Source organism: Homo sapiens, chromosome 20, assembly GCF_000001405.40.
Source record: "Homo sapiens chromosome 20, GRCh38.p14 Primary Assembly".
Classification (NCBI taxonomy): Eukaryota; Metazoa; Chordata; class Mammalia; order Primates; family Hominidae; genus Homo; species Homo sapiens.
Window position 1 is genome coordinate 25,794,912 of NC_000020.11, and position 18,026 is coordinate 25,812,937.

The 18,026-nt window shown below is 45.7% G+C and overlaps 1 long non-coding RNA gene across 2 annotated transcripts in view; it reads right to left on the bottom strand.

Moving 5' to 3' along the window:
* Nucleotides 1-6,380, bottom strand: part of FAM182B (family with sequence similarity 182 member B) — a 37,840-nt gene extending 31,460 nt beyond the window's left edge. Inside the window, exon 1 of one of the 2 annotated variants that reach the window (NR_027061.3) lies at nucleotides 1,134-1,197. This is a non-coding gene — a long non-coding RNA (family with sequence similarity 182 member B). Of the gene's footprint in view, nucleotides 1-1,133; nucleotides 1,198-5,908 lie in introns of those variants that run through there. The other variant, NR_026714.2, reaches the window with a different exon arrangement.
* Between the last annotated feature and the right edge of the window lie 11,646 nt (nucleotides 6,381-18,026).

Here is an 18,026-nt window from a genome sequence, read left to right on the forward strand (position 1 = left end):
GACAAGGCCAGTCACTGTCGCCTAGCGCTCCTTCTAGGCAATCCACCCACCCATGAGGGAAAACGTGGAGAAGAAGGAAGCTTCCCTGCCTGAGACACATATGGAAGCCAAGAGCTCCAGGGTCATGAGACCTGCGGAATCCAGGAGAAACACGTTTGGAGAGAGAAACATTCAGGACACGGATCTCCAGGAAATGTCACCCTGACGGACTGGGAAGTCATCTTTGTTGAAGACATTTGGCCAGAGCGAGATGCATCCAGGTCCCTGAGAAACAGGGGAGGCAGAGCAAGAGGGAAGACAGAGCAGAGGCCGGAGCCCAGGCAGGGTAAAGCACCGTGCCACCGCCACGGTCATAAGGGGAGGGGTTCCAAAGGGATGGCTTGTCCAGAGAGGCCAGCGTTCCAGTGACAGGGACTGTTGCCATCTCCCATTCCCGGCTTCCTCTTGCAGACCGTATGGTGGTGTGGCTTCATTTCTCAGAAAAGAGCCGTGAAAAGATACCAGCATCTTCTCTGACGTGGGTCCGCTGCTCTCCTGCAGGACAAAGAGCCCCTGTGGGGCTCTTGTCTTCAGCTGCAGTGTGTTCATCTTGATCCTAGGAAACTGGCCGCTCAGGATGGGAATGAGATTTCATTTGCTCCGTGACCAACGCATCTCCTCAAGTGGGCCAGGCCTTCACATACCCAAAGCGGATCCGCGGCGGCGAAAAAGATTGACAACCGGACTCATGACCCAGGCAGAGACGCAGAAAGAGGGTCACCAAAGACAGGCCGCCCTGCGAGAAACCGCTTTGTGGCGCACAGGGCACATTCGGCAAAGACACACACGCACACGGGCAAACACACACAAAACACTGAGAGAGGGAAAGAAACACACAGACACTGAGAGATAGAGAAGAGAGAATGGGAGACACACACATAGACACACACACTCACACACACACACACACACAGACACAGAGACACACACAGAGTCCTAGAGCAGAGGCATTGAAACACACACCCCCAGGCAACACCTGAGGCTTCGGGGTTGTGCTCTCGACGAGAACGATCCTCGGGTGAGAGACCACCCCATGGGCACGCAGGCCTACATGTCCTCGAGATCACGGCGGCACTACTTTTGGAGAGACTCACCCCAACCAACACCGTCCGGGCAGGCCTGAGGCTGGGATGCCGTGCTGCTTTCCCCGGACTCTGCCTAAGGTTTCGCCATCCTGGTCAGCCCTTTGCGAATCCTGGCATCTGGGGACGTTCCCGTCGACCACGTGGAGAGGTCAGGCCGGAGACTCAGAGCCCCGACACTCAAGCACTGCCATGGAGGGCTCCTACTTTGCCATGCCTCGAGGACTGCTTTCTAAGACAACCGTGGGAACCACTGTGACGGGAGAAGCCGCTCCCGCCTCGCGCATGCGCATTGGCTGGCCCGACTCGAACTCTGCTCCTGGCAGTCAGGCTGGGTCCCCTTTAAAGAACGCCACCGCAGCGCGGCGGCAGCGAGGCTCCAGCTGCAGGCGCGGCGGCGGCTGGATCCGGCCTCCAGTTTGGGGCAGCGTGGGAGAGGGGACCGCGGGTGTCTTGTCCTGTCCCAGGGCCAAACCCCCAGGAGTCCTGTCCTCAGGAACTCCTTGAGCTGACTTCCACCGAGGGAGGGAGGGGGAGCTTCAGGACGCCTGCTGTGTTCTCAGGACACCCCTTCAGATCCCATTTTGGCCCCCACCGAGTGAGATAGGATGGGCTCGCCACATCTGCTGAGGCAGGCAGGGCCTCGCTGCAGCAAAGAATGATCCCATAGGTCTCGAGGCCTAGTGTCAGCTGCAAATTCACTGATCCTTCAACCCTCTGCCTCCCTCCTCCTTTGAAAGAGCAGTGGCCTACCCCTCTTCTAAAAGCCCTGGGGCTCCGGAAAGCCGACCGCGCTTTACAGGGCTCGTGCAAACAGGAACAGTGGCGAATGCCAGGTGCAGACCATGTGACCACGCGTGGCACTGGCGTATCCCACAGCAGATGGTGTGAATGTGTGTCACCGGAGGCATACGGGGCGACGGCGAAACAAATGGTGGTGTCCAGGCATGTGCCGGCGGAAGTGGGGAACGAGTGACCTTTCCATCAATGCCAAGGAAAATCTAAGAACACCTGGGACCCGGGGGGTGGGGGCGCCTGTGCCTGACCCAAGCCACGTTTTCAAATGCCTAGCAGAGGAGCAAAGAGGTTTCTGCAAAATTCGCCCCACCCCCAAACCTCCACCGCCCTGGTAGCCCTGAAGCAACTTCGGCTGCACCCAGCCCCAGCCCCAGCCACAGCCCCACCCATGAGAGGAAACCTGGAGAAGAAGGAAGCTTCCCTGCCTGAGACATGTATGGACACCCAGAGCTCCAGGGTCATTAGACCTGCGGAATCCAGCTGAAACACGTTTGGAGAGAGAAACAATCATAACATGGATCTCCAGGTAGTGTCTCCCTGACGGACTGGGAAGTCATCTTTGTTGAAGAAATTTGGCCAGAGCGAGAGCCATCTAGGCCTCTGAGAAACAGGGGAGGCACAGCGAGTGTGACAACAGAGTAGAGGCTGTAGCCCAGGCAGGGTACAGCACCGTGCCACCGCAATGGGCATAAGGGGCGGGGTTCCAAAAGGGTGGCTTGTCCAGAGAGGCCAGCGTTCCAATGACAGCGATTGTTGCCATCTCCCATTCCCAGCTTCCTCTTGCAGACTGTATTGTGGTGTGGCTTCATTTCTCAGACAAAAGCCGTGAAAAGATACAAGCATCTTCTCTCACCTGGGTCAGCTGCTGTCCTGTGGGAAAAAGAGCTCCTGTGAGGCTCTTGTCCTCGGTTGCTGTGTTTTCATCTTGATGCTAGAAAAGAGGCCACTCAGGATTGGGATGAGATTTCAATTGCTCCGGGACCGTCGCATCTCCTCACGTGGGCCAGGTCTTCACACACCCAAAGCGGTTCCGCGACAGTGAAAACAATTTACAACCAGCCTCATAACCCAGGCAGAGACCCAGAAAGAGGCTCACCAAAGACAGGCCGCCATGCGAGAAACCGCTTTGTGGCGCACAGGGCACATTTGTCCAAAGACACACAAGCAGACGGGCACACACACACAAACCAATAGAGAGAGGGAAAGAAACACACAGAGACTGAGAGACAGAGAGAGAAGAGATCATGGGAGACACACACACAGACACACACCGACACACACACACACACACACACACACACACACAGAGTCCTAGAGCAGAAGCATTGAAACACACAACCCCAGGCAACCCATGAGGCTGCGTGGTTCTGCTCTCAAAGAAAGCGACCCTCGGTTGACAGAGCAGCCCAGGGGCATGCAGGCCGACCTGTCCTCGAGATCACGGCTGCGGCACGACTTTTGAGGAGACTCACCCCAACCAACACCGTCCAGGCAAGCCTGAGGCTCGGATGCCGTGCTGCTTCCCCAGGACTCTGCCTGGGGTTTCCTCATCTAGGTCTGCCCTTTGCAACTCCTGGCATCCGGAGACATTCCCGTCGACCCCGTGGAGAGGTCAGACCGGAGCCTCAGAGCCCGGACACCCAAGCTCTGCCGCGGAAGGCTCCCGCTTTGCCAAGCCTCGAGGACTTGTTTCTAAGACAACCGTGGGAACCACTGTAATGGGAGAAGCCGCTCGCGCCTCGCGCATGCGCATTGGCTGGGCCGACTCGCGCTTCCCTCCTGGCAGTTAGGCTGCGTCCCCTTTCAATAACGCCACTGCTCCGTGGTGGCGGCGAGGCTCCTGCTGCTGCCACGGCGGCGGCTGGTTCAGGGGTCCAGTTTGTGGCGGCGTGGGAGAAGGGGCCTTGAGTATCCTGTCCCAGGGCCAAACCCCCAGGAGTCCAGTCTTCAGGACCTCCTTGAGCCGACTTCCACTGATGGAGGGGGAGCTTCAAGGCGCCTGCTGGGTTCTCAGGAATCCTCTTCAGATCTTAGTTTGGACCCCTCCTGGTTAGAAAGGAAGGGCTCAGCACATCTGGTGAGGCAGGCAGGGCCTCGCTGCTGCACAGAATGATCCCATGGCCCTCAAGGCGTGGTGTCAGCTAAATGTTCACTGATCAGTGAGCCCTCTGCCTCCCTCCTCCGTTGAAAGAGCAGTGGTGTGCCCCACTTCTAAAAGCCGTGGGGCTCCTGCCAGCAGACACCGCTTTCCAGGACAGGTGCAAACAGGGTCGGTGAGAATCCGAGGTGGAGACAATGCGATCACGCGTGGCACTGGCGTATCCCACAGCAGATGGTGTGAATGTATGTCACCGGAGGCATATGTTGCAATGATGAAACCAACATTAGTGTCCACGCATGTGCCTGGTGGAAAGGCGGATCAAGTGGCTTTTCCCTGAATGCCAAGGAAAATCAAAGAACACCTGCGAACAAGGAGGAGGCCTGTGCCTCAGTCCAAGCCACATTTTGAAATGCCTGCCAGAGGAGCAAGGAGTTCTCTGCAACATTCACCCCACCCCGAAGCCTCCACCGCCCAGGTAGCCCTGACGCAACCTCCCCTGCACCCAGCCGCAACCCCATCCCCAGGCCCAGCCCTGTTCCTTTGGTTTCATGACATTCGTTACAGAAAAAAGATTCAGGGAGTCAGTCCACCTACGAGCAGAGGAGAGGATATCCCTCATTTGTGAGACAGGACGTGCAGAGGTAATGGGACACCATCTGTCCTAGAAGACAAGGCCAGTCATGATCGCCTAGCACTCATTCTAGACAATCCACCCACCCATGAGGTGAAACAAGGAGACTAAGGAAGCTTCTCTGTCTGAGACACGTGTGGAAGCCAAGTGTTCCAGGCTCATCAGACCTGCCCAATCCAGCAGAAACAGGTTTGGAGAGAGAAGGAGTCATGACAAGGATCTACAGGAAGTGTCTCCCTGATGGACTGGGAAGCGATCTTCGTAGAAGTTATTCAGCCAGACCAAGAGGCAACTAGTCCCCTCAGAAACAGGGGAGACCGGGCAAGAGGGAGGACAGAGCAGAGGCCAGAGCCCAGGCAGGTTACAGAACCTTGCCACTGCCACGGGCATAAGGGGAGGGGTGCGAAACGCGTGACTTGTCCAGAGAGGCCAGCATTCCAGGGACAGGGATTGTTGCCGTCTCCCATTCCCGGCTTCCTCTTCAGAATTGTATGGTGGTGTGGCTTCATTGCTCAGAGAAGAGCCGTGCAGGGGTACAACCATCTTCTTGGAGGTGGGTCTTCTCCTCTCCTGCCGGACAATGAGCTGCTGTGGGGTTTTGTCCTGGGCTGGAGTGTGGTCCTCTTGATCCTAGAAAAGAAGCCGCTCAGGATGCGGATGAGACTTTGATTGCTCTGGGACCGACGCGTCTCCTCAAGTGATCAAGGCCTTCACAAACCCAAAGTGGAACCGCCGTGAAAACGATGGACAACCGGCCACAGGACCCAGGCAGAGATGCAGAAAGAGGCTCACCAAAGACTGGCCAACATGCAAAAAATTGCATTTTGGCGAACAGAGCACATTCGTCCAAAGACACACACGCACACGGGCATACGCACACAAACACACACACACAGACCGACAGAGAGAGGGAAAGAAACACACAGAGGGTGAGAGACAGAGAGAGAAGAGAGAATGGGAGACACACACACACACACAGTCCTACAGCGGTGGCACAGAAATACACACTCCCAGGCAAACCCTGAGGCTAATAGTGGAAAATATGTATCTAAGAATACATTTGGAACAGAAATGTGAAAAACCAAAAGTAAGAGATATTATGAAGGATCAAATATAAAATGACCCAGTGCTAAAGAGGCAACAAAGAAAATTGTAGAAGAAAATGACAAGAGGAATTGTGCCTTAATGAGTTTGTACTACTATATAGAAAATACACTAGGCTGGGTAATTTCTGAAGAACAGAAATGTATTTCTCACAGTTCCATAGGCTAGAAGTCCAAGATCAAGGTGCCAGCAGGATTGGTGTCTGGTGAGGGTCTGGTCTCTGCATCCAAGATGGTATCTTGTGCACTGTGTCTTCAGGAGGAGATGCACTGTGTCCTCACATGGCAGAAGGTGGAAGGGCAAAACAGGGGAAGCCCACTCCATCCAGTCCTTGTGTAAGGATCCTAAACTCATTCGTGAACACTCTCCCTTCATGACTGAATCACTACCTTAAAGCCCTACTTCCTAATCTTATGACATTGGTGATTAATTTTAGGGGGACACATTCAGAGCATAACACCCTATATTCAATTTCTTAAAAATTATTTTGTTGTTTTGCTTTTCTGTTTTTCAAATGGCTTAAAGTGCACAAAACTGGATTACTCATAATCCTTGGCTCATAGCATACCTTGGCTCCTATTTCATCCTTGTCTGTGCCTGGGCCTCTGTGTAAATGTATTTGAATAATATGGTAATCACTTGTGAACTTACAACACAACCAAAGAACCAGGGTTCTGACCCTAACATCTGCTCCTCCTCTGTCCTTTTTCCTGATTTTCACCCTTCAGCCCGAGGGTAACTACTACCCTGAATTTATGTTTAGGATTCTCTTCCTTTAAAAAAAAAACATTGTTTATTTCATACATATGATTACCTTAAATGATATATTATTTAGTTTTTAAGGGTATAATTTATTTACCCATTATCCTATTAATTTACCCATTCTCCTATTAATGAAAATCTGGCTTGTTTCCATATATTCGCTATTATGAATGGAATTACATGAGCGTTTTTTTTTTTTTACTACCTCTGGTACATATGGGCAAGAGTTTCTCCAGGGCCTATGGTAGAGGAATTACTTTGCCATAACATATGAGAATGCTCAAACTTATAAGATAATCCAAATTGCTTTCCAAAGTGGTTGTTCTAATTTAAACTCTCACCTCCTGTATTAGTTTGAGATGATCTTGTTGATCCACAGTCTCTCCATATTTGGTGATATGGTTTGGCTGTGACCACACCCAAATCTCAGCTTGAATTCTATCTCCCAGAATTCCCACATGTTATGGGAGGGACCCAGGGTGAGGTAATTGAATCACGGAGGCCAGTCTTCCCTGTGCTATTCTCATGATAGTGAATAAGTCTCATGAGATATGATGGGTTTATCAGGAGTTTCTGCTTTGGCTTCCTCCTCATTTTCTCTTGCTTCTGCCATATAAGAAGTGCCTTTCACCTCCTGCCATGATTCTGAGGCCCCCCTCACCATTTGGGACTGTAAATCCAATTACAGTTCTTTTTCTTTACACCTCTTTTTCTTCTCAGACTTGAGTATGTCTTTATCAGCAGGGTGAAAGCAGACTAATACAGTAAATTGATACCAGTGGAGTGAGGTGCTCCTTAAAAAAGTACCCAAAAATGTGCAAGCAACTTTGAAACTTGGTAACAGGCAGAGGTTGGAACAGTTTGGAGGGCTCAGTAGAACACTGGAAAATGTGGGAAACTTTGGAACCTCCTAGAGACTTGCTGAATGACTTTGACAAAAATGCTGATAGTGTTTTGAACAATAAGGTCCAGGCTGAGGTGGTCTCAGATGGAGATGAGGAACTTGTTGTGAACTGGAGCAAAGGTAACTCTCGTTATGTTTTAGCAAAGAGAATGGCAGCATTTTGCCTCTGTCCTAGAGATTTGTGGAACTTTGAACTTGAGAGTGATAATTTAGGGTATCTGCTGGAAGAAATTTCTAAGCAATAAAGCATTCAAGAGGTGACTCGGGTGATGTTAAAGGCCTTCGGTTTTATAAAGGAAGCAGAGCATACAGTTTTGGAAAATTTGCAGCCTGACAATGTGATAGAGAAGAAAATCCCATTTTCTGAGGATAAATTCAAGGTGTCTGCAGAAATTTGCATAAGTAACAAGAAGCTGAATGTTAATCCCAAAAACAATGGGGAAAATGTCTACAGGACATGTCATAGGTCATCACAGCAGCCCCTCCCATCACAAGCCCGGGGCCTAGGAGGATAAAATGGATTTCTGGGCTGGGCCAGGTTCACTGTGCTGTGTGTAGCCTAGGGCCTTGTTTCTCTGCGTTTCAGCCCCTCCAGCCATGGCTGAAAGGGGCCAACATAGAACTCAGGCCATGGCCTTGAGAGTGCAAACACCAAGCCTTGGCAGCTTCCACGTTGTGTTCAGCCTGCACATGCATAGAAGTCAAGAATTGAGGTTTGGAAACCTCCACCTAGATTTCAGAGGATGTTTGAAAACATCTGGATATCCAAGCAGAAGTTTGCTGCAGGGGTGGTGCTCTGATGGAGAACCTCTGCTAGGGCTCTGCAGAAGAGAAATGTGGGGTCAGAGCCTCTCTACAGAGTCCTTACTGGGGAACTTCCTAGTGGAGCTGTGAGGAGAGGGCCACTCTCCTCCAGACCCCAGAATGGTAGATTCACTGACAGCTTGCACCATGAGCCTGGAAAAGCTATGGACACTCAACATCAGTCCATGAAAACAGCCACGAGGTGGACTATACCCTACAAAGCCACAGGGGCAGAACTACACAAGGCTGTGGGAGCCCACCTCTTGTATCAGCATGACCATGATGTGAAACAGGGAGTCAAAGGAGATCATTTTGGAGCTTTAAAATTTGATTACCTTGCTGGATTTTGGACTTGCATGGGGCCTGTAACCCCTTTTTTTTGGCCAATTACTCCCATTTGGAACAGCTGTATTTACTCAATTACCTGTACCCCGATTGTATCTAGGAAGTAACTAGCTTGATTTGGATTTTACAGGGTCATAGGCAGAAGAGACTTGCCTTGTCTCAGATGAGACTTTGGACAGGGGACATTTGGGTTAATGCTGAAATGAGTTAAGACTTTGGGGGACTGTTGGGAAGGCATGATCGGATTTGAAGTGTGAGGACATGAGATTTGGAGGGGCCAGGAGCAGAATAATATGGTTTGACTATGTCCCTACCCACATCTCAACTTGAATTGTACTGCTCAGGATTCCCATGTGTTCGGGGAGGGAATCAGGGGGAGGTAGTTGAATCTTTGGGGCTGGTCTTTCCCATGCTATTCTTGTGATAGTGAATAAATCTCACAAGATCTGATGGGTTAGTGGTTTCGTCTTTTGCTTCTTTTGCCTCCTTCTCATATTCTCTTGCCACTGCCATGTAAGAAGTGCTGTTCATCCACCGCCATAACTCTGAGGCCTCCTCAGCTATGTGGAACCCTTAATCCATTTAAGCCTCTTTTTCTTCCCTGTCTCGGGTATGTCTTTATCAGCAGTGTGAATATGGACTAATACATTTGGTATTGTCAAACTTCTTAATATTTGTGGAGAGAATAGGTGTGTAGTATCTTGTGCATTTCCCTGATTACTAATGAGGTTGAGAAAATTTTTATGTTTTGCAAGCTTTCTCTTTTGTGAAATCCCTATTAATGTCTTTTCCCAATTTTCTGTTGGGTTGCTATTTTTAAAATTAATTCATAGGAGCTCCTTATGCTTAGTTGATATGATATTAATCTTTCATAGGTTTTAGGTACTGCAAATATCTTCTCTAATTTATAGTTTATCTTTTGACTTTTTTACTTTTATTTTTTAATTTCAATTTTTTTGTTTTTGAGACAGAGTCTGGCTCTGTCATTCAGGCTGGAGTGCAGTGGCTCACTGCAACCTCCACCTCCTGGGTTGAGATGATTCTCATGCCTCAGCTTCCCAAGTAGCTTGGACTACAGGTGTCTGCCACTGATGCCCAGCTAATTTCTTGTATTTTTAGTAGAGATGGGGTTTCACCATGTTGGCCAGCCTGCTCTCAAACTCCTGACCTCAGGTGATATACTATTGGGATTACAGGATTGAGACACTGTGACCAGCCTATCTTTCCACTTTTTGATGTAAAAAGTTCTTAATTTTGTGATAGTCAAAATGTCTAATCTTTTTTAATGGTTAAATGGCTTTTTGTGTCCCATTCACTTACATTTTCTACTAAAAGTTTTAAAGTTTTGTTTCTGACATGTAAGTCTTTGGTCCTCTGGAATTTAATGTTTGTATATAGAGTGAAGTAGGAATATAATTTCATTTTGTTTCTTATATCAATAACCATTATTTTTCTATTCTATTTATTGAAAAGTCCTTTCTTTCCTTACTGATCTGCCATGTCACCTACATCACGTATCGAAGATTAAATTTGTAGAGATTTGCTTGGGAGCTCTCTATTCTGTTTCATTAGTCAGTTTATCAGTGAGGACCACACTGTCTTAATTGCTGTAGCTTTATAAAAGTTCTGATATTTGGCAGGACAAATCTTTCCTCTTCTTCAATGTCTTTGATATTCTTGGACCTTCTCTTTTCCATATATATATATCTAGAGAGAGAGAGAGAGAGAGAGGTCTCACTTTGTTGCCCAGGCTTGAGGACAGTGGTGCAATCACAGTTTACTTCACACTTGAACTCCTGGACTCAAGAGCTCCTCCTACCTCAGCCTTCCAAGTAACTGGGACTCTAAGGCATGCACCACCACATCCAGCTAATTTTTTAAAAAAATATTATTTTTTGCAATGATGGAGATCTTGCTATGCTGCCCAGGCTGGTCTCAAACTTTTGGCCTCAAGCAATCCTCCCCCCTCAGGTTCCCATAGTGCTGGGATCACAAGAGTGAGCCACCACACCTGGCTCCATTTTCCATATTTTAAGACCATTTTTAAAAAGTTGCTCAAGACTGCTTTTTTCTCTTGGTGTTACTTGCAACCCCCTTACTTAGCCTTGGAAATACTGTTAGTGAAGAAAATCTAAAGACTCAAAAAAATAAAATATTCTTTCTTTTCTTCCAACTGCAAAAGAGCAGACACCCTCCTGTATCATAAAGCTAGTTTTGATAAATAATTGGTGAACTGAGAGCATACACAGTATTATTAATTCTGTTCTAATTTCTGCTTCACTGTGGAGTGTCTTCACAGAGTCTTAAAAGATTATTGCTATGAAATATTCTTATACATGTAACCCATAACCTCTACAATTCTGCAGTTGTACTTGGCTGTCTTATCCAATACTCAGTTGTTTTGCTTCCTAATTTTTAAATTGGCATCTCTAAGTTCCAAAAGGCATAAATACTAGTATAGATTTTTAGTTAAGCCAGAAGAAAGTAGACTTTATTTACTAACATATCTTATATGTAAAAGTTTAATAAATCTCCCTGCTTCTTTTCTTTTGCATCATAACAGCCACTGAAAATAATCTTTCTATAGCAGTTTGGGGTAAATGGACAATGACTTTTGTGGCCAGAGGTGAATGGCCCAGGGGCTCCTGCACTCCAGGTCCCACTGAGCCTGCCACACAGCTGAGGGCATCGGTATTTCCACACACCTATAGTGCACGCTGTCCCAGAACACAGATCCGATGCTCTCCTTTATTCAAATGGGGAGTTGAGAGTACTGTCGTAGTAATTAAATTAATAAATACATATTTATACACCGTTAAAATCTGGTTGGATTTGTGTCCCTTCACAAAACAAATTGCTTAAATGAAACCACAGAGTTAATATAATTGAGTTCATTTGCTTCTACGAGATGCTCTTTTAAATGGAATTAGAATCTAATATGAAATGTCAATTAAAAGTTTAAATATTCAACTCAATTACATTTAGATTTTTGTTCTGTTTTGTTTTGAGATGGAGTTTAGCTCTTGTCACCCAGGCTGGAGTGCAATGGCACAATCTCAGCTCACTGCAAGCACCTTCTCCTTGGTTCAAGCAATTCTCCTGCCTCAGCCTCTGGAGTAGCTGGGATTACAAGTGTCTGCCACCACGTCTGGCTAAGTTTTGTATTTTCAGTAGAGATGGGGTTTCACCATGTTGGTCAGGCTGGTCTCGAACTCCTGACCTCAGGGGATCCACCCATCTTGGCCTCCCAAAGTGCTGGGACTATAGGCATGAGCCACCACACTCAGCCTTTTTAGATTACTTTACTTTATTTTAGTTACTTATTTTTATGACTTTATTGTTATAAAAATGCTAATTTTAAAAAATCAATCAATATAACAAAGAACATAGAAGATGATCAACAAACATTCCCACCTCTGTTATCTAGAAATAACTGTCATGAATCCAAAAGCTGACACATGGCAAATCCCTTCACACCGGTTCACAGTACTAAGTAACTCCTTGCTTGTAGAAAACATTATTATTATCATTATTATTTTTGAGATGGAATTTGACTCTTGTAGCCCAGGCTGGAGTGCGATGGTGTGATCTCGGCTCACTGCAATGTCTGCCTCCCATGTTCAAAGGATTCTCCTGCCTCAGCCTCCCAAGCAGCTGGGATTACTGGCACACACCACGATGGCCTGCTAATTTTTTGTATTTTTGTAGAGACGTGGATTCACCATGTTGGCCAGGCTGGTTTCGAACTCCTGACCTCAGGTGATCCACTTGCCTCGACCTTCAAAAGTGTTGGGTTTACAGGCAGGAGCCACCACACCCAGACTAGAAAACATTATCCAACAGCAAACAGTAGCAGTATGCTTGGGGGTTTTAGGATTGATTATTTTCAAATCTCTAGAAAAGCTCAATGCATTGCTTTAGGCTATAATCTCAGGGCAGAGTCTCATCTGTTAATGGGGGGATGGTCTAAGGGTCCTTCCAGCTCTCAGATTAATGGTTTCCCATGTTGAACTGCTCCCTGTCACCCACCCATCCTCGGTTTTGTTTGTTTGTTTTTACAGAGATGAGGTCTCACTATACTGCCCAGGCTGGTCTTGAACTCCTGGCCTTAAGCGATCCTCCTGCCTTGACTTCCCAAAGTGCTGGAGTTACAGATGTGAGCCTCTGTGCTCAGCCCATCCTTGCCTGTTCAAGTGTAGAGGTAAGTAGCAGATGCCAAGTTTACCTCCATGTCAGAAGGGGCAGATGCCCCAGGGCAGAATCATAACGCTAATCAGGCCTCCCACTGCATGAAGACATTATGTTCTGAAGCTTAAACCTGGACAAAGGTCTGACCAGTAGCACTGTGTTCATGATTATCAGGTCAAAAATTTAATACTGGGACTACCCAGAAGAACCTGGTAGATTCAGGTGCAGTCCACAGTCCAATGGTCAGCCATGATAACAGGCCACCTGTACTTTCTCTTTATCTTGGAGTCCTTGATGTAAAAATTGATGACATATTCTTCTGGTGTGCTTCCCTTTCTTCTTCATTTTCCATAAGTAATTTCCTCCATCCCGACTCCCAACAGGCCACAGTCAATTCAGGACATTTTAACCATGAAAAGGAGTCTCCATAACACGAATTTAGAGGCCAGACACGGTGGATCACACCTGTAATCCCAGCACTCTGTGAGGCTGAAGTGGGAGAATGGCTTGAGCTTAGGAGCTTGAGACCAGCCTGGGCAACATGGTGAAACCCTGTCTCTAACAAAAAATAAATAAATAAATAAATAAATAAATAAATGAAAATAAGCCATGTATGGTGGTGCATGCTACTAGTCCCAGCTACTCAGGAGGCTGAGGTGGGAGGATTGTGGAGCCAAGGAGGTCAAGTATGGAGTGGTCCAAGATCATGCCACTGCAATCCAGCCTGGGTAATGGAGTGAGACTTTATATAAAATAAAAAAAGGATTTAAAGGACAGGCTGACTTTCTTGTTACAAGCCAATGCACATTTGCTATTCCATAAATCCTAGGGCACCTCTTAAGAATTAATCCAGCATATAAACAGAACCAAAAACAAAAACCATATGATTATCTCAATAGATGCAGAAAAGGCCTTTGAAAAAATTCAACAACTATTCATGCAAAAAACTCTCAATAAATTAGGTATTGAATGGACATATCTCAAAATAATAAGAGCTATCTATGACAAACCCACAGCCAATATCATACTGAATTGGCAAAGACTGGAAGCATTCCCTTTGAAAACTGGCACAAGACAGTGATGTCCTCTCTCACCACTCCTATTCAACAAAGTGTTGGAAGTTCTGGCCAGGGCAATTAGGAAGGAGAAGGAAATAAAGGGTATTCAATTAGGAAAAGAGGAAGTCAAATTGTCCCTGTTTGCAGATGACAAGATTGTGTATCTAGAAAACCCCATAGTCTCAGCCCAAAACCTCCTTAAGCTGATAAGCAACTTCAGCAAACTCTCAGGATACAAAATCAATGTACAAAAATCACAAGCATTCTTATACACCAATAACAGACAAACAGAGAGCCAAATCATGAGTGAACTCCCATTCACAATTGCTTCAAAGAGAAGCAAATACCTAGGAATCCAACTTACAAGGGACGTGAAGGCATTTGGTTCTTCAATGAGAGCTACAAACCACTGCTCAATGAAATAAAAGATGATACAAACAAATGGAAGAACATTCCATGCTCATGGGTAGGAAGAATCAATATTGTGAAAAGGGCCATACTGCCCAAGGTAATTTACAGACTCAATGCCATCCCCATCAAGCTACCAATGACTTTCTTCACAGAATTGGAAAAAACAACTTTAAAGTTTATATGGAACCAAAAAGGAGCCCGCATCACCAAGTCAATCCTAAGCCAAAAGAACAAAGCGGGAGGCATCATGCTAACCTGACTTCAAACTATACTACAAGGCTACAGTAACCAAAACAGCATGGTACTTGTACCAAAACAGATATAGATCAATGGAACAGAACAGAGCCCTCAGAAATATCGCCGCGTATCTACAACTATCTGATCTTTGAGGAAAACAAGCAATGGGGAAAGGATTCCCTATTTAACAAATGGTGCTGGGAAAGCTGGCTAGCCATATGTAGAAGGCTGAAACTGGATCCCTTCCTTACACCTTATACAAAAATTAATTAAAGATGGATTAAAGACTTAAATGTTAGACCTAAAACCATAAAAACTCTAGAAGAAAACCTAGGCTTTACAATTCAGGACATAGGCATGGGAAAGGACTTCATGTCTAAAATACCAAAAGCAATGGCAACAAAAGCAAAAATTGACAAATGGGATCTAATTAAACTAAAGGGCTTCTGCACAGCAAAAGAAAATACCATCAGAGTGAACAGGCAACCTACAAAATGGGAGAAAATTTTTGCAACCTACTCATCTGACTAAGGGCTAACATCCAGAATCTACAATGAACTCAAACAAATTTACAAGAAAAAAACAAACAACCCCATCAAAAAGTGGGCAAAGGACATGAACAGACACTTCTCAAAAGAAGACATTTATGCAGCCAAAAAACACATGAAAAAATGCTCATCATCACTGGCCATCAGAGAAATGCAAATCAAAACCACAATGAGATACCATCTCACACCAGTTAGAAGGGCGATCATTAAAAAGTCAGGAAACAGCAGGTGCTGGAGAGGATGTGGAGGAATAGGAACACTTTTACACTATGATGGGACTGTAAACCTGTTCAACCATTGTGGAAGACACTGTAGCCATTCCTCAAGGATCTAGAACTAGAAATACCATTTGACCCAGCCATCCCATTACTGGGTATATACCCAAAGGACTATAAATCATGCTGCTATAAAGACACATGCACACGTATGTTTATTGTGGCACTATTCACAATAGCAAAGACTTGGAACCAACCCAAATGTCCAAAAATGATAGACTGGATTAAGAAAATGTGGCACATATACACCATGGAATACTATGCAGCCATAAAAAATGATGAGTTCATGTCCTTTGTAGGGACATGGATGAAATTGGAAATCATCATTCTCAGTAAACTATAGCAAGAACAAAATACCAAACACCGCATATTCTCACTCATACTTGGGAATTGAACAAAGAGAACACATGGACACAGGAAGGGGAACATCACACTCTGGGGACTGTTGTGGGGTGGGGAGAGGGGTGAGGGATACCTTTAGGAGATATACCTAATACTAAATGACGAGTTAATGGGTGCAGCACACCAGCATGGCACATGTATACATATGTAACTAACCTGCACATTGTGCACATGTACCCTAAAACTTAAAGTATAATAATAATAAAAGAAAAAATAAAAAAGAATTATGCTAAATCTACTCTACCCATGCTGTATAAATGGAACAACAACACTTGGATGATATCAGAGCTGTTTACGGCATGGGTTACTGAGTATTTTAATCCCACTTTTGAGACCTACAGCTCAGAAAAAAAGATTCATTTCAAATACTTCAGCTTTTTGACAATGTACCTGGTGACTAAAGAGCTCTAATGGAGATGTACAGGGAAACGCATGCTGGTTTCATGCCTGCCAACACAACATCTATTCTGTAGTCCATGGACTGAGGCATCATTTTGACTTTCTAGTCTTATTATTTGAGAAATATATTTTATAAGGCTGTTACTGCCATAGGTCATGATTCCTTTGATGGATCTGGGCAAAGTCAATTGGAAACCTTCTGGAAAGGATTCACTATGACAGATGCCACTAAGAACATTCAAGATTCACCAGAGGAGGTAAAAATAGCAGCATTAATAGGAGTTTGGAAGAAGTTGATTCCAACCCTCATAGATGACTTTGAGAGGTTCAAGACCTTAGCAGAGGAAGCAACCACAGTTGTGGTGAAGATAGCAAGAGAACTAGAATTACAAGTGGAACCTGAAGACGTGAGTGAATTGCTGCAATCTTTTTTTTTTTTTTTTTTTTTTTTTGAGATGGAGTTTTGTTTTGTTGCCAAGGCTGGAGTGCAATGGCGCGATCTCGGCTCACCACAACCTCCGCCTACTGGGTTCAAGTGATTCTCCTGCCTCAGCCTCCTGAGTAGCTGCCATTATAGGCATGTGCTACCGCATCCGGCCGATTTTGTATTTTTAGTAGACACGATGTTTCACCACGTTGGTTAGGGTGGACTGGTACTCCCAACCGCAGATGATCCTTCCACCTCGGCCTTCCAAAGTGCCGGGATTACAGGCATGAACCACCGCGCCCGGCCAAATTGCTGCAATCTTAATGGAAATAAATGGAATTAGATGGAAAAAAGTTTAGCCTGGGGCTCAGGATCGGCTCTCCCTTTACTACCACATTCCCGTGCAGAGCACCAAGGAATCAGAGAATTCTAAACTCAACTTCGACCTTGTGGGTTATTATGACAGTATATTTATCAAAGTAGGAGAATAGAACATATTTAACTATTTGTTAGCTTCATTTATAACTCATAATTATTTAGACATACTGCAAATGTGGGCTGGAATTCACGTTCTGACTTTTTGTGGCCTTGAGCTAAGGAAAACGGACCCAGGGAAATGGGCTTTATATGCTTGGATGGCTTCATGGAATCCCCAACTTCTTTAGCTTCTGTGACAGCTCAAGATTGTTACTAAAATCCACTTTGTATTATCTTTAAAAACCAAGGGATATCATTTTTGCTTATATAATAATTATAAAGTTAGTTGATAGAGGAGTGGCAGGGTTAGAGAGGATTGGTTCCAATTTTGATATAAATTCTACTGTGGGTAAAATGCTACCAAACTGCATAGCATGCTACAGTGAAATCTTTTGTGAAAGGAAGAGTCAGTCAATGAAGTAAACTTCATTGTCATCTTCTTTTAAGAAATTTGTCACTCCCTCTCCAGCCCTCAGCAACCACCACCCGGATCAGTCAGTAGCTATCAACATTGAGACAAAACCATCCAGCAGCAAAATGGTGATGACTTGCTGAAGGCCTAGATGATGGTTAGCATTTTTTGGCAATCACGTATTTTCAAAGTAAGGTATATACATTATATTTTAGACATAATGCTATTGCACACTTAATTGATTACAGTAGCTTAAACATAACTTCTTTTTTTGAGATGGCATCTGGCTCTGTTGCCCAGGTTGGAGTGCAGTGGTGCGATCTTGGCTTACTGCAAACTCTGCCTCCCAGGTTCAAACAATTCTCCTGCCTCAGCCTCCTGAGTAGCTGGGACTACAGGAGTGCACCACCATTTTTGTATTTCCGGTAGACACAGGGTTTCACCATGTTGGCCAGGCTGGTCTCGAAATTCTGACCTCAGGTGATGCACCCGCCTCGGCCTCCCAATGTGCTGTGATTACAGGCGTGAGCCACCATGCCTGGCAACATAACTTTTATATACACCAGAAAGCAAAACATTTCGTGTGACTTGCAAAAAGTTTCGTGTGACTTGCGCTGTTGTG